At 43.9% G+C, this 15,771-nt stretch overlaps 2 protein-coding genes and 1 pseudogene across 6 annotated transcripts in view; 1 reads left to right on the top strand and 2 right to left on the bottom strand.

Moving 5' to 3' along the window:
- The first annotated feature begins 6,266 nt into the window (after positions 1-6,266).
- Positions 6,267-8,140, top strand: SLC35G3 (solute carrier family 35 member G3). The gene has a single exon (NM_152462.2). It carries the CDS (start codon positions 6,353-6,355, stop codon positions 7,367-7,369), a length of 1,017 nt encoding a protein of 338 aa, NP_689675.1. The 5' UTR covers positions 6,267-6,352; the 3' UTR covers positions 7,370-8,140.
- On the bottom strand, positions 8,723-9,852 carry SPICP2 (Spi-C transcription factor pseudogene 2; annotated as a pseudogene).
- Positions 11,315-15,771, bottom strand: part of UNC45B (unc-45 myosin chaperone B) — a 41,529-nt gene continuing 37,072 nt past the window's right edge. For 3 of the 5 annotated variants that reach the window (XM_017024234.2, NM_173167.3, NM_001308281.1), the window contains one exon: positions 11,315-14,361. In XM_017024234.2, coding sequence (XP_016879723.1) covers positions 14,101-14,361 — 261 coding nt within the window. In that variant the 3' untranslated portion in view covers positions 11,315-14,100. The remainder of the gene's footprint in view (positions 14,362-15,771) is intronic. The other 2 variants (NM_001033576.2, NM_001267052.2) reach the window with 1 other exon arrangement.

The raw sequence follows: 15,771 nt of genomic DNA, 5'->3' as shown, positions 1-15,771 counted from the left end.
ATCAATGTGCAAAAATCACAAGCATTCTTATACACCAATAACAGACAAACAGAGAGCCAAATCATGAGTGAACTCCCATTCACAATTGCTTCAAAAAGAATAAAATACCTAGGAATCCAACTTACAAGGGATGTGAAGGACCTCTTCAAGGAGAACTACAAACCACTGCTCAAGGCAAACCACTGCTCAAGGAAATAAAAGAGGATACAAACAAATGGAAGAACATTTCATGCTCATGGGTAGGAAGAATCAATATCATGAAAATGGCCATACTGCCCAAGGTAATTTACAGATTCAATGCCATCCCCATCAAGCTACCAATGACTTTCTTCACAGAATTGGAAAAAACTACTTTAAAGTTCATATGTGTCGGGGAACCTGCCCCGATAGTCACATAGGTTCTTTTCTATTTTCCCTAAGCGTTGGCCGGGTTGAGAAATAAAGGGACAGAATACAAAAGAGAGAAATTTTAAAGCTGGGCATCCGGGGGAGACATCTTATGTCGGTAGGTTCCATGATGCCCCACAAGCCGCAAAACCAGCAAGTTTTTATTAGGGACTTTCAAAAGGGGAGGGAGTGTACGAATAGGTGTGGGTCACAGAGATCACATACTTCACAAGGTAATAGAATATCACAAGGCAAATGGAGGCAGGGCAAGATCACAGGACCACAGGACCAGGGCAAAATTAAAATTGCTAATGAAGTTTCGGGCACCATTGCCATTGATAACCTCTTATCAGGAGACAGGGTTTTGAGAGCAACCGGTCTAACCGAAATTTATTAGGTGGGAATTTCCTCTTCCTAATAAGCCTAGGAGCGCTATGGGAGACTGGGGTTTATTTCACCCCTACAGTTTTGACCATAGAAGATGGCCACACCCAAGGGGGCCATCTATAGACCCAACCCCAGGCACATATTCTCTTTCCCAGGGATGTTCCTTGCTGAGAAAAAGAATTCAGCAATATTTCTCCCATTTGCTTTTGAAAGAAGAGAAATATGGCTCTGTTCCGCCCGGCTCACTGGCGGTCAGAGTTTAAGGTTATCTCTCTTGTTTCCTAAACATTGCTGTTATCCTGTTCTTTTATCAAGGTGCCCAGATTTCATATTGTTTAAACACACATGCTCCACAATTTGTGCAGTTAACGCAATTATCACAGGATCCTGAGGCAACATACATCCTCCTCGGCTTACCAGATGACAGGATTAAGAGACTAAAGTAAAGACAGGCATAGGAAATCACAAGGGTATTGATTGGGGAAGTGATAATTGTCCATGAAATCTTCACAATTTTATGTTCAGAGATTGCAGTAAAGACAGGCATAGGAAATTATAAAAGTATTAATTTGGGGAACTAATAAATGTCCATGAAATCTTCACAATCCACGTTCTGCCATGGCTTCAGCCGGTCCCTCCATTTGGGGCCCCTGACTTCCCGCAACACATATGGAACCAAAAAAGAGCCCGCATTGCCAAGTAAATCCTAAGCCAAAAGAACAAAGCTGGAGGCATCACACTACCTGACTTCAAACTATACTACAAGGCTACAGTAACCAAAACAGCATGGTACTTGTACCAAAACAGAGATATAGACCAATGGAACAGAACAGAGCCCTCAGAAATAATGCCACATATCTACAACTATCTGATCTTTGACGAACCTGACAAAAACAAGAAATGGGGAAAGTATTCCCTATTTAATCAATGGTGCTGGGAAAACTGGCTAGCCATATGTAGAAAGCTGAAACTGGATCCCTTCCTTACACCTTATACAAAAATTAATTCAAGATGGATTAAAGACTTAAATGTTAGACCTAAAACCATAAAAACCCTAGAAGAAAACCTAGGCAATACCATTCAGGACATAGGCATGGGCAAGGACTTTTGTCTAAAACACCAAAAGCAATGGCAACAAAAGCCAAAATTGACAAATGGGATCTAATTAAACTAAAGAGCTTCTGCACAGCAAAAGAAACTACCATCAGAGTGAACAGGCAACCTACAGAATGGGAGAAAATTTTTGCAATCTACCCATCTGACAAAGGGCTAATATCCAGAATCTATAATGAACTCAAACAAATTTACAAGACAAAAACAAACAACCCCATCAACAAGTGGGTGAAGGATATGAACAGACACTTCTCAAAAGAAGACATTTATGCAGCCAAAAGATACATGAAAAAATGCTCATCATCACTGGCCATCAGAGAAATGCAAATCAAAACCACAATGAGATATCATCTCACACCAGTTAGAATGGCGATCATTAAAAAGTCAGGAAACGACAGGTGCTGGAGAGGATGTGGAAAAATAGGAACACTTTTACACTGTTGGTGGGACTGTAAACTAGTTCAACCATTGTGGAAGTCAGTGTGGCGATTCCTCAGGGATCTAGAACTAGAAATACCATTTGACCCAGCCATCCCATTACTGGTAATATACCCAAAGGATTATACATAATGCTGCTATAAAGACACATGCACATGTATGCTTATTGTGGCACTATTCACAATAGCAAAGACTTGGAACTAACCCAAATATCCAACAATGATAGACTGGATTAAGAAAATGTGTCACATATACACCATGTAGTACTATGCAGCCATAAAAAATGATGAGTTCATGTCCTCTGTAGGGACATGGATGAAGCTGGAAACCATCATTCTCAGCAAACTATTGCAAGGACAAAAAACCGAACACTGCATGTTCTCACTCATAGGTGGGAATTGAACAATGAGAACACATGGACACAGGAAGGGGAACATCACACACCGGGGCCTGTTGTGGGGTGGGGGGAGGGGGGAGGGATAGCATGGAGATATACCTAATGTTAAATGACGAGTTAATGGCTGCAGCACACCAACATGGCACATGTATACATATGTAACAAACCTGCACATTTTGCACATGTACCCTAAAACTTATAGTAAAAAAAAAAAAAAGAAAGAAAGAAAGAAAAAGAAAATCCCAACATCATTTCTTATAGAAATAGAAAAAAATTCTAGCCTGTAATCCTGGCACTTTGGGAGGCCAAGGTGGAAGAACTGCTTGAGCCGAGGAGTTCACCTCTACCAAAAAAAAAAAAATTTTTTTACCAGGTTTGTCAATGCATGCCTGAGGTACCAGCTACTCCAGGAGCTGAGGTAGGAGGATTGCTTGTTTGGGCTCAGGAGTTTGAGGCTGCAGTGAGCCATGATTGTGACATTCATTCCAGCCTGGGAAAGAGAATGAAACCATGCCTCAAAAAAAAACAAAAAACATTAAAATTCATACAAAACTGCAAAAAAAAAAAAAAAAAAAAAGCCAAGGCAATCGTGAGCAAAAAGAAAAAAAGCTGGAGATATTTGCTTCAGAGCTCTCTGAAGTTGAAAAAACTGGAGGTATCACACTATCTGATTTTAAACTATACTACAAAGCTATACTAATTAAAATAGTATGAAATAATCGCTTCTCTGCCTTTTGGCTAAGATCAAGTAAGTGTAAAACAGCATGGAATTGGCAAAAAAGAAAAAGACACATCAACCAATGGAACAGAATAGAAAGCCCAGAGATGAATCTGATTTTCAACAAATATGCCAAGAAGAAAAAGACCGCTTTTTTCAATAAATGGTGTAGGGAAAACTGAATTTCCACATGCAGAAAAAGAAAATTGGACCCTTATTTCAACACCATATACAAAAGTTAGTTCAAAATGGATTACATACTTAAACATTCCTGCATTAGTTTGCTCAGGAAAATTGCCAACAAAAAAAAAAAAAAAAAAAAAAAAAGGAAAGAAAGAAAAAAAAGAGACCTTTAAGACCAAGAACCTAAAACTGCTAGAAGAAAACATAGGGGATCAGCTGACAGCCTCCTTTAAAAAAAAAAAAAAAAAAGAAAGAAAACATAGGGGAAACATACAAGACATTGGTCTGGGTAATGATTTTTTGGATTTGTTCCCAAAAGCACAGACAACAAAATTAAATATAGACAAATGGTATCATATCAAAGTAAAAAGCTTCTTGGTTCATGATGTGTAGCTAAAACAAACAAACTAAAAACCTTCTGCACAGCAAACAATCAACAGAGTAAAGAGATAACCTATGGAATGGGAGAAAATATTTGCAAGCCAGACATCTGATAAGGGGTTAATATCCAACACATATAAAGAGCTCAAACAACTCAATAGCAACAAAACAAAACAAAAAAGCAATTAAGACCTGCTTTCTGCTGACCAAGTCTTCTTCCTTACCCCTCCCTAATAAGAAGAAAAAAAGGCAATTAAAAGATGGGTAACTCCTCCTTAGTATAGTGGTAAAATTTAAACATTAAAAAAGTTTTGGGACCAGTCTGGTCACTCACACCTGTAATCCCAGCACTTTCGAAGGCCAAGGTGGGCAGATTGCCTGAGCCCAGGAGTTCAAGACTAGCCTGGGCAACATAATAAAACACTGTCTCTACAAAAAAAAAAAAAAAATTAGCTGGGCTTGAGCCATGTTTGTGTCACTGCACTTGAGCCTGGGTGAGAGAGCGAGACCCTGTCTCAAAAAAAAAAAAAAAAAAAAAAGCTTTAAGTTGTAAAAAAAAGTGGGTAAGATCAAAAGAAGAGAAGGAAAGAAAACAATGTATAAGATACCTGAGCTCTCCCTCTCCCTCTCCCTCTCCCCACGGTCTCCGTTTCCCTGTCTTTCCACGGTCTCCCTCTGATGCGGAGCCGAAGCTGGACTGTACTGCTGCCATCTCGGCTCACTGCAACCTCCCTGCCTGATTCTCCTGCCTCAGCCTGCGATTGCAGGTGCGCACCGCCACGCCTGACTGGTTTTCGTATTTTTTTGGTGGAGACGGGGTTTCGCTGTGTTGGCCAGGCTGGTCTCCAGCTCCTAACCACGAGTGATCTGCCAACCTCGGCCTCCCGAGGTGCCGGGATTGCAGACGGAGTCTCATTCACTCAGTGCTCAATGTTGCCCAGGCTGGAGAGCAGTGGCGTGATCTCGGCTAGCTACAACCTCCACCTCCCAGCCGCCTGCCTTGGCCTCCCAAAGTGCCGAGATTGCAGCCTCTGCCCAGCCGCCACCCCGCCTGGGAAGTGAGGAGCGTCTCCGCCTGGCCGCCCATTGTCTGGGATGTGAGGAGCCCCTCTGCCCGGCTGCCCAGTCTGGGAAGTGAGGAGCGCCTCTTCCCGGCCGCCATCCCATCTAGGAAGTGAGGAGCGCCTCTTCCCGGCCGCCATCCCGTCTAGGAAGTGAGGAGCGTCTCTGCCCGGGGGCCCATCGTCTGAGATGTGGGGAGCGCCTCTGCCTGGCCGCGACCCCATCTGGGAGGTGAGGAGCGTCTCTGCCCGGCCGCCCCATCTGAGAAGTGAGGAGCCCCTCCGCCCCGCAGCTGCCCCATCTGAGAAGTGAGGAGCCCCTCCGCCCGGCAGCCGCCCCGTCTGAGAAGTGAGGAGCCCCTCCACCCGGCAGCCGCCCCGTCTGGGAAGTGAGGAGCTTCTCTGCCCGGCAGCCGCCCCGTCCAGGAGGGAGGTGGGGGGCAGCCCCCGCCGGGCAAGCTGCCCCGTCTGGGAGGGAGGTGGGGGGTCAGCCCCCGCCCGGCCGCTGCCCCGTCCGGGAGGTGGGGGGCACCGCTGCCCGGCCGCCCCTTCTGGGAAGTGAGGAGCCCCTCTGCCCGGCCACCACCCCGTCTGGGAGGTGTACCCAACAGCTCATTGAGAACGGGCCATGATGACGGTGGTGGTTTTGTGGAATAGAAAAGGGGGAAAGGTGGGGAAAAGATAGAGAAATCAGATTGTTGCTGTGTCTGTGTAGAAAGAAGTAGACATGGGAGACTTCATTTTGTTCTGTACTGGGAAGGGTTCTTCTGCCTTGGGATGCTGTTGATCTGTGACCTTGCCCCCAGCCCTGTGCTCTCTGGGGCATGTGCTGTGTCCACTCAGGGTTAAATGGATTAAGGGCGGTGCAAGATGTGCTTTGTTAAACAGATGCTTGAAGGCAGCATGCTCGTTAAGAGTCATCACCACTCCCTAATCTCAAGTACCCAGGGACACAAACACTGCAGAAGGCCGCAGGGTCCTCTGCCTAGGAAAACCAGAGACCTTTGTTCACTTGTTTATCTGCTGACCTTCCCTCCACTATTGTCCTATGACCCTGCCAAATCCCCCTCTGCGAGAAACACCCAAGAATGATCAATAAAAAAAAACAAAAAACAAAAAAAGAAAGAAAAGAAGCAGAGTTGGACTCAGTGGGAAAATAGGCGTGCTACCACCTCAGGAGAGTTCCAGGGAAGAATCCCACCCCCACTCCAATGAGGTCACAATGGCTGGAGCTCTGAGGGGCCCAGGCTCCCTGAGCCAGGAGGAGAGGAGAAAGTCCAAGGAAAGATGGCTGGCAGTCACCCCTATTTCAACCAGCCTGACTCCACACACCCATCGCCGCCCTCCGCTCCACCCAGCCTCCGCTGGTACCAGCGCTGCCAGCCCTCTGATGCCACCAGTGGCCTGCTGGTGGCCCTGCTGGGTGGGGGCCTGCCTGCTGGCTTCGTGGGCCCCCTTTCTCGTATGGCTTACCAGGCTTCCAACCTGCCCTCGCTGGAGCTGCTCATCTGGCGATGCCTCTTCCACCTCCCTATTGCCCTGCTACTTAAACTGCGTGGCGACCCCCTTCTGGGAACTCCTGACATCCGAAGCCGGGCCTTCTTCTGTGCCCTGCTCAACATCCTCAGCATTGGATGTGCCTACAGTGCGGTTCAGGTGGTGCCCGCTGGCAACGCTGCCACTGTTCGCAAAGGTTCTTCCACCGTCTGCTCCGCCGTCCTCACTCTCTGCCTTGAGAGCCAGGGTCTCAGTGGCTACGACTGGTGTGGACTGTTGGGCTGCATCCTAGGACTAATCATCATTGTGGGACCTGGACTCTGGACACTACAGGAGGGGACCACGGGTGTCTACACCGCCCTGGGCTATGTGGAGGCTTTCCTGGGAGGCCTGGCGCTGTCCCTGAGGCTTCTGGTCTATCGTTCTCTGCACTTTCCCCCCTGCCTCCCAACAGTGGCCTTCCTATCTGGCTTGGTGGGGCTGCTGGGCTCTGTGCCAGGCCTCTTTGTGCTGCAGGCCCCCGTGTTGCCCAGTGACCTCCTGAGTTGGAGTTGTGTGGGGGCAGTGGGGATCCTCGCCTTGGTCTCCTTCACATGTGTGGGCTATGCGGTCACCAAGGCCCACCCTGCCCTGGTGTGCGCTGTCCTACATTCCGAGGTGGTTGTGGCCCTTATACTGCAGTATTATATGCTCCATGAGACTGTGGCACCTTCTGACATCGTGGCGGCAGGGGTTGTGCTGGGCAGCATTGCCATCATTACAGCCCAGAACCTCAGCTGTGAGAGGACAGGGAGGGTGGAGGAGTGAGATAGAACTTGGGAGCCCGGGGGTTGGGAGGGACAGGGATAAATAAAGGCAAAGACTGAAGACAAACATGGGAGGAGAAGTGACTGGAAAAGAACTGGTGTGGGAGAGGGATACCTCTCAGAGTCAAGGGTGACTTGGGGACTTGGTGGAGAGGGACTACGTGGAAGACCTGGGGCCAGCCTGGGACCAAGGGATGTGGAGTCCAGGCTGGGTCCTAGAATCAGGGCATAACTAAGGGGTAAAGTCTGAGGAGCAGATCCAAAGGGCTGAGGCAGGGAGGCCGTGGGCCATGGGGAGGACTTCACTCAGCAGCAAAGAGAAGAGCATTGGGGCTGGAGTGTTCCGGCAAAGACAGAGCCAGCAGCTGCGCTGGGGGAGGGAAGCGTGCCTCCCCACCCCTCCCCTCACGGGGAAGGTTTCCTTTCCTCGTGCTTGTGCCCCCCGCTTGGGGTGGTGACGTGACATTGACATCAAACAAGGATTACAGTGAATGTGAAAAAAAAAAAAAAAGATACCTGAATAGACATTTCTATGACATTTTAAAAGCCATGAATTTATTTTGGCACAAATATTTTATCATATGCAGTCACTTCTTTGTAAATGATTTTTTGTAAAGTCATTGGATATAAAAGAGTGATTTTCCTCACCTGAGTACATGAAAAGAAAATGCTGAAATCAATGTATAAATCAAATCATCTGTACTAGCACTGTTAATCTAGAAGAAAGTGGTTGCATAGAGAAGAGTAAGAATGTAGACCAGCTTATTGAAGTAGGAAAAGAAAAAAAAAAGGAGCTTCAGAGGTAGGCTTTGCCTCTTAAAAAAATTAAAAACATAAGTCACTGTGTTGTGCTTGGGAGTTAGCAGCAAAAAAAAAAAAAAAAAATGAAGTCACTGTCTGTGAAAGGAAAAGAAAAAATGAAAAGAGTTTGCATCCATTGAAGTATGCAGAAAAAGAAAACAAGTTTTAAAATAAAATAAAATGAGTATAGTTGGGGGCTTAGCAATGGACATACAGAGTGGAGTAATAGACACCGGAGGCTCCAAAAGGTGGGCAGATGGGTGGGGGATGAGGGATGAAATCCTACCTATTGGGTACAATGTTCACTATTCTGATGATGAGGATGCTATGCAATATGCTTTACCACTACGCAATGTATCCATGCAACAAAACTGCACTTGTACTCCTAAATCCATAAAAATTTAAAATTGTCTTGGCTGAGACCTCTTTTAAAAAATAATAAAATAAAAAAATTAGAGAGAATAGTAAGAGCAGAGCAAGGACATTTAGTCTATAGTTTCAAATGGACTTAATCATTTGAAACAATAAAGTTTTTCATTGAATCTTCATAGAGTATTAAAAAAAAAGCTGCTCATTGGCAGAATTTCCCACTGAGTTAGTATAGATTACATGCTCTTTGATAAAAGCAGCAAATAAAGTTACTTGGTTTTTTTTCTCTTTAGTGTTTGCTTTAAGAGAAAAATCCTAAACTCCTTCAGAGGAAGGAAAAAAGAGACAGAGAGTGAGAAATCCTTAAAACTGTAGGGACTTCCAATGCCAGGAAACCATGAAATATGAGAGTATATTTAGCAATCATGGTGATTTAGCTCATGGTAATTGGCATATGTATAATTATAATTTGCATTCCAGTTATTTAAACTGAGATATTCCTGATCAGGTTTAACACACTTGGGGAAAGATCTCTTTCCCCAAGAAATAAGATGGAGAGAGTCTTTGGAGAGTGGCCTAACTGAACTGGTAAGTCAGCTTCCTCCGGATTTTGGTAATTTCCTCACTTCTTCCATAATTTCTCAGTGCCCTGGCCATTTTCTGATAAGTCATGGTCTTCCAACGGCCTTTTCTTTTCCGCCAAAGCTCGGCAAGTTTTCCTTTGTTTTTTGATACAAACGGAAAGATGCCTTTGATTTTATCTACCCACTGAATACAAGGTGCCATCTCCGGATTACACAGGGATTCGTGAAGGTATTCAAACAGTCTAAGCTTCTTCCTGCCTTTTCCCCACTTTTGCTGGAGAATAGTGGGTTGTACCAGCTGGTTTTCAGTTATGTTCTGCAGAGACTGATGAATGTTTCCTTCAAAATAGAAGTCCGCAGCACTGTTGATTACCGTTCTCCAATTACAGAGAGGTTCCTCTGTAGGCAACACTCCATAGCAGCTGGAATTTCCTTTGACGTGAGGACAATAATTGATTAAAGCCAGGTAATTTTTGTAATCTGGCGAGTACTAAAGATCTCCAGTTGAATGTTGCCTCAGTGCCTCAAAAGCATCCTCAAATGCTTGACCCAGCTTGTCTTGTTCAACACACGTCATGTTTCATTAATAAATTGACAATTTTGTTCCTTGGCAATTGTTGCAGGAAGACACTTCAACCCTTTATAGAGATATTTCATTAATATCAGAATTGTAAATTCAATGGTAGGCTGTCATGAAAATAAAAAATTATTTTCCAGCATGATGGTTCTGCCCATCAGTGTCCAATGCAGCATCCACTTGCATATGGTGGAAATAGCCTTCCCCTCCCCTGAAACACATGTCTGCCTCCCGCTTGGCTAACCTGTAACCTGCCATTGTAACAGCTGTCACGTTTGGCCAATTTTATGATTTTCATTGCCTTTTCTTGCCTTTTTGTACTAGCTACGCTCTTCGGTACAAAGTTGAATACAATTGGTAATAGCAAGTACTGTTATCTCATTCTTAATCTCGGGATAATTAAATATCACAGTGGCTATAGATTTTATACAGATAAACTTTATCACATTAAGGAAGCTTCTTTCTATTTTTAGTTTACTGAAGAGTTTTATCATGAATTGTTACTGAATTTTATCAAAAACTTTTCTTACGTCTATTGAGATAGTCATTATTTTATTCTTTATTCTGTTGATGTAGTACATTATATTGGTTGATAGTCTCATATTAACCAACTTATTGTTCTTAGAATAAACATAACTTGATTAATGTGTTATCTTTTTATATATTGGTGGATTTGGGGTGCTAGTATTTAGTAAAGGATTTTGTACCTATAGTCATAAAAGATACTGGTCTACAATTTTCCTATATGTCTTTGTTAAGTTTTGCTATCAAGCTATCCTCATAAAAAGAGCTGAAAGTGTCCTTTCTTTTATCTTCTTTGGAAGGGTTTGCATAAGACTGGTACTGTTTTGGCCAGACGCGGTGGCACACACCTGTAATCCCAACGCTTTGCGAGGCTGAGGTGAGAGGATTATTTGAGCCCAGGAGTTCAAGACCAGCCTGGTCTTTACAAAAAATAAAAAATAAAAATACTTGATGCACCTATAATATCATAGTGAATCTCCATTTCTATATAAAAAAAAAGTTTTTAAAAAGGAAAAGAAAAAAACATTAAGTTGGAGGACTAACAGTGAATATCAGCTACTCAGGAGACTGAGTGGGAGGATCGCTTGAGCCCAGGAGGTTGAAGCTGCAGTGAGCCGTGATCACGCCACTGCACTCCAGCCTGGGTGACAGAGTGAGACCCTGTCTCGAAAAACAAAAGAAAACAAAAGAATGGCATTGTTTCTTTCTTAAATGCCTGTAGAATTCACCAGTGAAACTAAATGGGCCTGAGTTTTCTTTGTGGGAAGGCTTTCCTTACCATCGTTGTTGTTATTACAAACGTAATTTCTCCAATAGGTATCATACTATTCAAATTTTCTATTTCTTCTTTTAACAGTTTAGTAAATGGTGTCTCAGACACTTAAACCTCTGTGACTCACAACCTCTGCTAACAAATTGGCAAACATCCCAAATGGAATCAACTTTACCAAAAAGTTAAGCTTCCTCCTTGGTGCTTCCCTTTTTGTTGGTCTCACTGCCTTAATGGCTCTCGGTGCCTTAAACAGATTGTTTAAGTTTTGCCCAGTTTTTCAATTTTTGTATGTCATGGTATTGTTTTGCCACAAGTTACTCTTACTAGGAACAGAAATTCTTTATTATTTACCTTTCACAAATGAGAAGACTAAGAGTCAAAGGGGTTAAATTTTTACAAAATATCCTTTTGGAGATATAAACTTTAAAACTGTATGCTTCTCAAATGGCAAAGGATTAATATGACACAGACCAAGTTCTCTGATAACAACATACTTCAGTTAAAAGTAATAATATAAATGATGAATTTTCCCATTATATGTTGGGAAACTAAGAAACATACCTCTAAGATATTTATAGATTTTCTGTAAGAGAATTGGTTGGAAAAACCTAGAAAGTTGGCAGGTATTGGCTGTTCCTTGCTGTTTTTGGGCAAACTACCTCAATAAAGAGATGATCTCAGGCTAGCATCTGCCTATTTGAAAGCATAGATGAAAAAAAAAAGAAATCTGCAAAGAAGGGCCCTCTTACAAGCAACAATATAAGAGTCTAGGCTGGAAAAGCCAACTACTTATGTAACCTAGGCAGTGGGAAACAAAGGTATTTGTCACAGCTTTTCTTAAAGGCCTCCCATGAAGACTTAGCCAGACAATGGGAGGCAGCCCAGTGGCAAAAATCAGATGAAGGAATTCAGCTTTCCTCTAGATCTTCTTGGACTATTTACAAAATATTCATGTTAAAGAATGTGGTCTCCCAGACTGGGCAACATAGTGAGACCCTGTCTCTACAAAAAAAAATTTTTTAATTACCTGGGGGTGGTGGTGTGTGCCTGTAGTCCCAGCTATTGAGGAGGCTGAAGTAGAAAGATCACTTGAGCCCAGGAGACCAAGGCTGCGGTGAGCCATGACTGCACCACTGCACTGCACTTGAGCCTAGGTTACAGAGCAAGACCCTGTCTCAAAAAAAAAAAAAAAAAAAGTCTCTCCAATCCAAACAAGATGAACTTTATCTAACTGGCCCTGAACGCCACTGGCAGATGTAACCTCATGAGATCAAAACGAGTAAGAGTGTGGCCCTGCCTGTGAAAGAGTTTCCTTTAAAGGAGCTAAATACACCCACTCAAGCCCACATATGAGGAAAGCAGGAAAGAAGAATTTGACAGAGGTCAAATCATGCCATTTATTGTGTATATTTTCAGAAGCACCACACCCTTTTGAATGTTGTCATTCTCTATCATAATAAGGATATGATGAATATAGTTTCCTGCTGTGAAACAAGCCCATGCAAGAGTTAGTTAAAATGTAGGCTGTATGTAAAGACCATTAGTGCAGAAAAGATCTGAGAAATTAAGGTTTTAGTTCTCTAGAGGTACAGCGGGTATTATGTTGGATTTGGCCCATACCGCAACAGTGCAACTCTCTGATAGTCTGTCCCTTTTCCAGCTGATGTCCCAGGCATATGTACACTTACATTTATTACACAACGGAACGTTGTAAATTGTTTTTATCAAGGACCGTAAATCTGAATGTCCCACCCTTTACCCAATGCTGAGATCAGAACTGTTGACCCTTCAATAAACGTAGGTAGAATTGGGACATACTGGAGTGACAGTACTAGATCTTAGCTATCTTAACCATGCTAAAAAGGCAATATTAGCAGAGAGGTTCTGATCTACAGCATATTACTTGTGTCATTCTTTTGTGGCCAAGCCTGACATACAGAATATGTTCTTTGATCTGCCCAGGGTACATTCTTTTGTGGTGGCACACCTCTTCCATTAATACCCCTAATCAGTCCATGTCAATTGGACAGGGATGAAGCTCATTTCTTCCCTAGACTTGTATATATGACCCAGGCCTGGCCAATTAGCATTCCACCTCTGAATATGATTGGTTCATAGATGGAAATGTGACCTGAGACATAGACATATCAGAGTCATCCCTGGGAACTTTGCCGGGTTATTGAGAATGCTCTTCTCTCTTCTATTCCATAATGAACTATAACAACTATGTCACCCTGGGGCTGCTGGGGACTCTCTTTCCTATCACAGGGAGAGAGCCTGCCAGGGAATGAGACAAACCTATAATAAATAAAAGACAAGATATGGGGAGGGGAAATGAGAGAGAGAAAAAGACACATCCATGGTGATGACATTTGAAACTCTGGATCTAACTAACAATGTCAGACCTTCCCTGGGTGGCCAAGATACATGAGCCAATGAATTATTTATTTTTTGTTTGAAGTACTTTGAGTAGATCTTATTTGTATTCATCATGTCCATCTTGCTTGGAAGACTTTCCCAAGCAAATTGCAGAGGTCATGCCCCACTGTTGAACATAAACTCTATTTCCATCACAGTGAAGTGATGGGAATGGGCATGGGACTGGGACAGAGCACTGCAGGTGAAACACACAGTTCTGAACAGACTGATTCAAATAGTGTGGGAGAGAGGTCATGAAAACAGCACAGATCAGCATCCAAATACAACAGCATTAACCTTTATATGCACACACCCGTTAGTTCCTACCTTACCACAAAATCCATTTTCCAAAATATAAAGAACTTCAACCTATTATCCTGGCCTTCAGAATGGGTACAGAAAGAATGATCCAACCTATTTCTAATCATGGGTGAAAATTATTCTGGGAATTTCTGAAACATGACAAATATAAGGAGACAGGAAGCAAGAGAGAGAGTGAAACATCCAAACTCTGTCAGGACAAAGGAGAAGACTCACAACTCAGAGAACAATCAAGTCTTTCCTTTATATTGAGACTTCATTGTCACTGCTATGATCCCTAGATGACCTGACTCTTCAGGAGAACCCAACCAACCCAGGACTCTGCACAGTACAGGACCACTCCCAGCATCCCTGAGGGTCGCTGTCTAAGACACTGGTTTAATGAAACCATAATCCATGCACTTGATGAGACATTCTCGGGCTGTCTGAACCACTTCTGCCTTCTTCTCATCTGGCTCCTGTTTGCCCACCACAGTCAGGATCTCCAGCAGCTCACTCTCCACCAGCTTCTTGGCCAGCTCAGCATCGGCTGCCAGTAGGTTGTAGGCAATGACCAGGCCCCGGTGTTGGACAGACAGCTGGTCGTGCAGGCAAAGCCGCTGGAGGATCTCCAACCACTGGGTTGTCTGGAGGCAGGGAAAAAGGTAAGGAAGGTGCTAGGTTTGAGTGTGTCCCCAGAGTTCATGTGTTGGAAATGTGGTCCCTGGTGTGGCAATGTTAGGAGGTGGGTCCTTTAAGAGGTAATTAGGTCATTAAGAGGAATTAATGTTGCTGTCACAGGAATGTGTTAATTCTTGCAGCAGTGAGTTCTTGCTCTCAAGGGACTAGACTAGTAATCATGAGAGCCACTCACGGCCCCAATTGCCACCTCTTGTGTTTTATCCTTTTCACACACACACACTTCCCCTTCTGCTTCTAAATCATGCTATGACACAGCACAAGACCTTCACCAAAAGCAAATCAGATGACACTGTCTCATCTTGGACTTCCCACCCTCCTGAGCTGTGAACCAAAATGAAGCTCTTTTCTTTTACCTAGTCTGAGGTATTCTGTTATAGCAACAGAAAATGAACAAAAACAAAAGGACTAAAGGAATCAGCATAACTTAGTTATGGTCACGCTACCAACCATATGGCCTCAGCTAAGTTATTTAACCTCTGTAAGCCTCAGGGTCATCTTCTATACCTTCCTCTAACATTGTGGTGATTTAATGAGATGATACATGGAAAGAGCTTAGTATGGAGGCTGGAGCACAGTAAGTGCTCAACAAGTAGAAGTGGATGCAGGGCAAGTACGTGATGATTTAAGACACCAACCCAGGCCAGGTGCGGTGGCTCATGCCTGTAATCCCAGCACTTTGGGAGGCCGAGGCAGGCGGAGCATGAGGTCAGGAGTTTGAGACCAGCCTGGCCAACATGGGGAAACCCCCTCTCTACTAAAAATACAAAAATTAGCCAGGCATGGTGGTGCACGCCTGTAATCCCAGCCACTAGGAAGGCTGAGGCAGGAGAATCGCTTGAACCCAGGAGGTGGAAGTTGCAGTGAGCCAAGATTGTACCACTGCACTCCAGCCTGGGCAAAAGAGCAAGACTGTGTCTCAAAAAAAAATAAAAATAAAAATAAATTAAAAAAAAACACCAATGCAAAGGTTTTCCCTTGGGCTTCTTTGTACCTGTTACCCTCACCTGGCATTTGTCAGCAGGGCTCACTTTCCACAAGCACATGGGTAGACAGACACGGGGGGAAGAAAAGGCAAATTCTTGGCTTTTGAGCATCTAACCCAACTTTTGTAAACTGCACTGAATGTCCTATCCCAAGGAAAGAACATGAAAGCTCAGCTAGCTGTGGCACGGTTCTATGCTGGAAAGTTTCTACGCTGAAGTGTAACTGATAATGGGTCCAGGGCCCATCGCTCCCTGGGATGAGTCACCGAAGGTCAAAGGAAGCAGTGATAGAAACTCAACAAGGATAGGATTCCAGAGCAGGAAGCATAGCCCAGGGCATAGCCCAGATGACATGAGACTGTAGAGATGTCC

The sequence above is a fragment of the Homo sapiens genome, chromosome 17 (genome assembly GCF_000001405.40).
Source record: "Homo sapiens chromosome 17, GRCh38.p14 Primary Assembly".
In the NCBI taxonomy this organism is placed as follows: domain Eukaryota; kingdom Metazoa; phylum Chordata; class Mammalia; order Primates; family Hominidae; genus Homo; species Homo sapiens.
The sequence above is the reverse complement of the archived record's forward strand: the minus strand, read 5'-3'. Positions and strand labels throughout refer to the sequence as shown.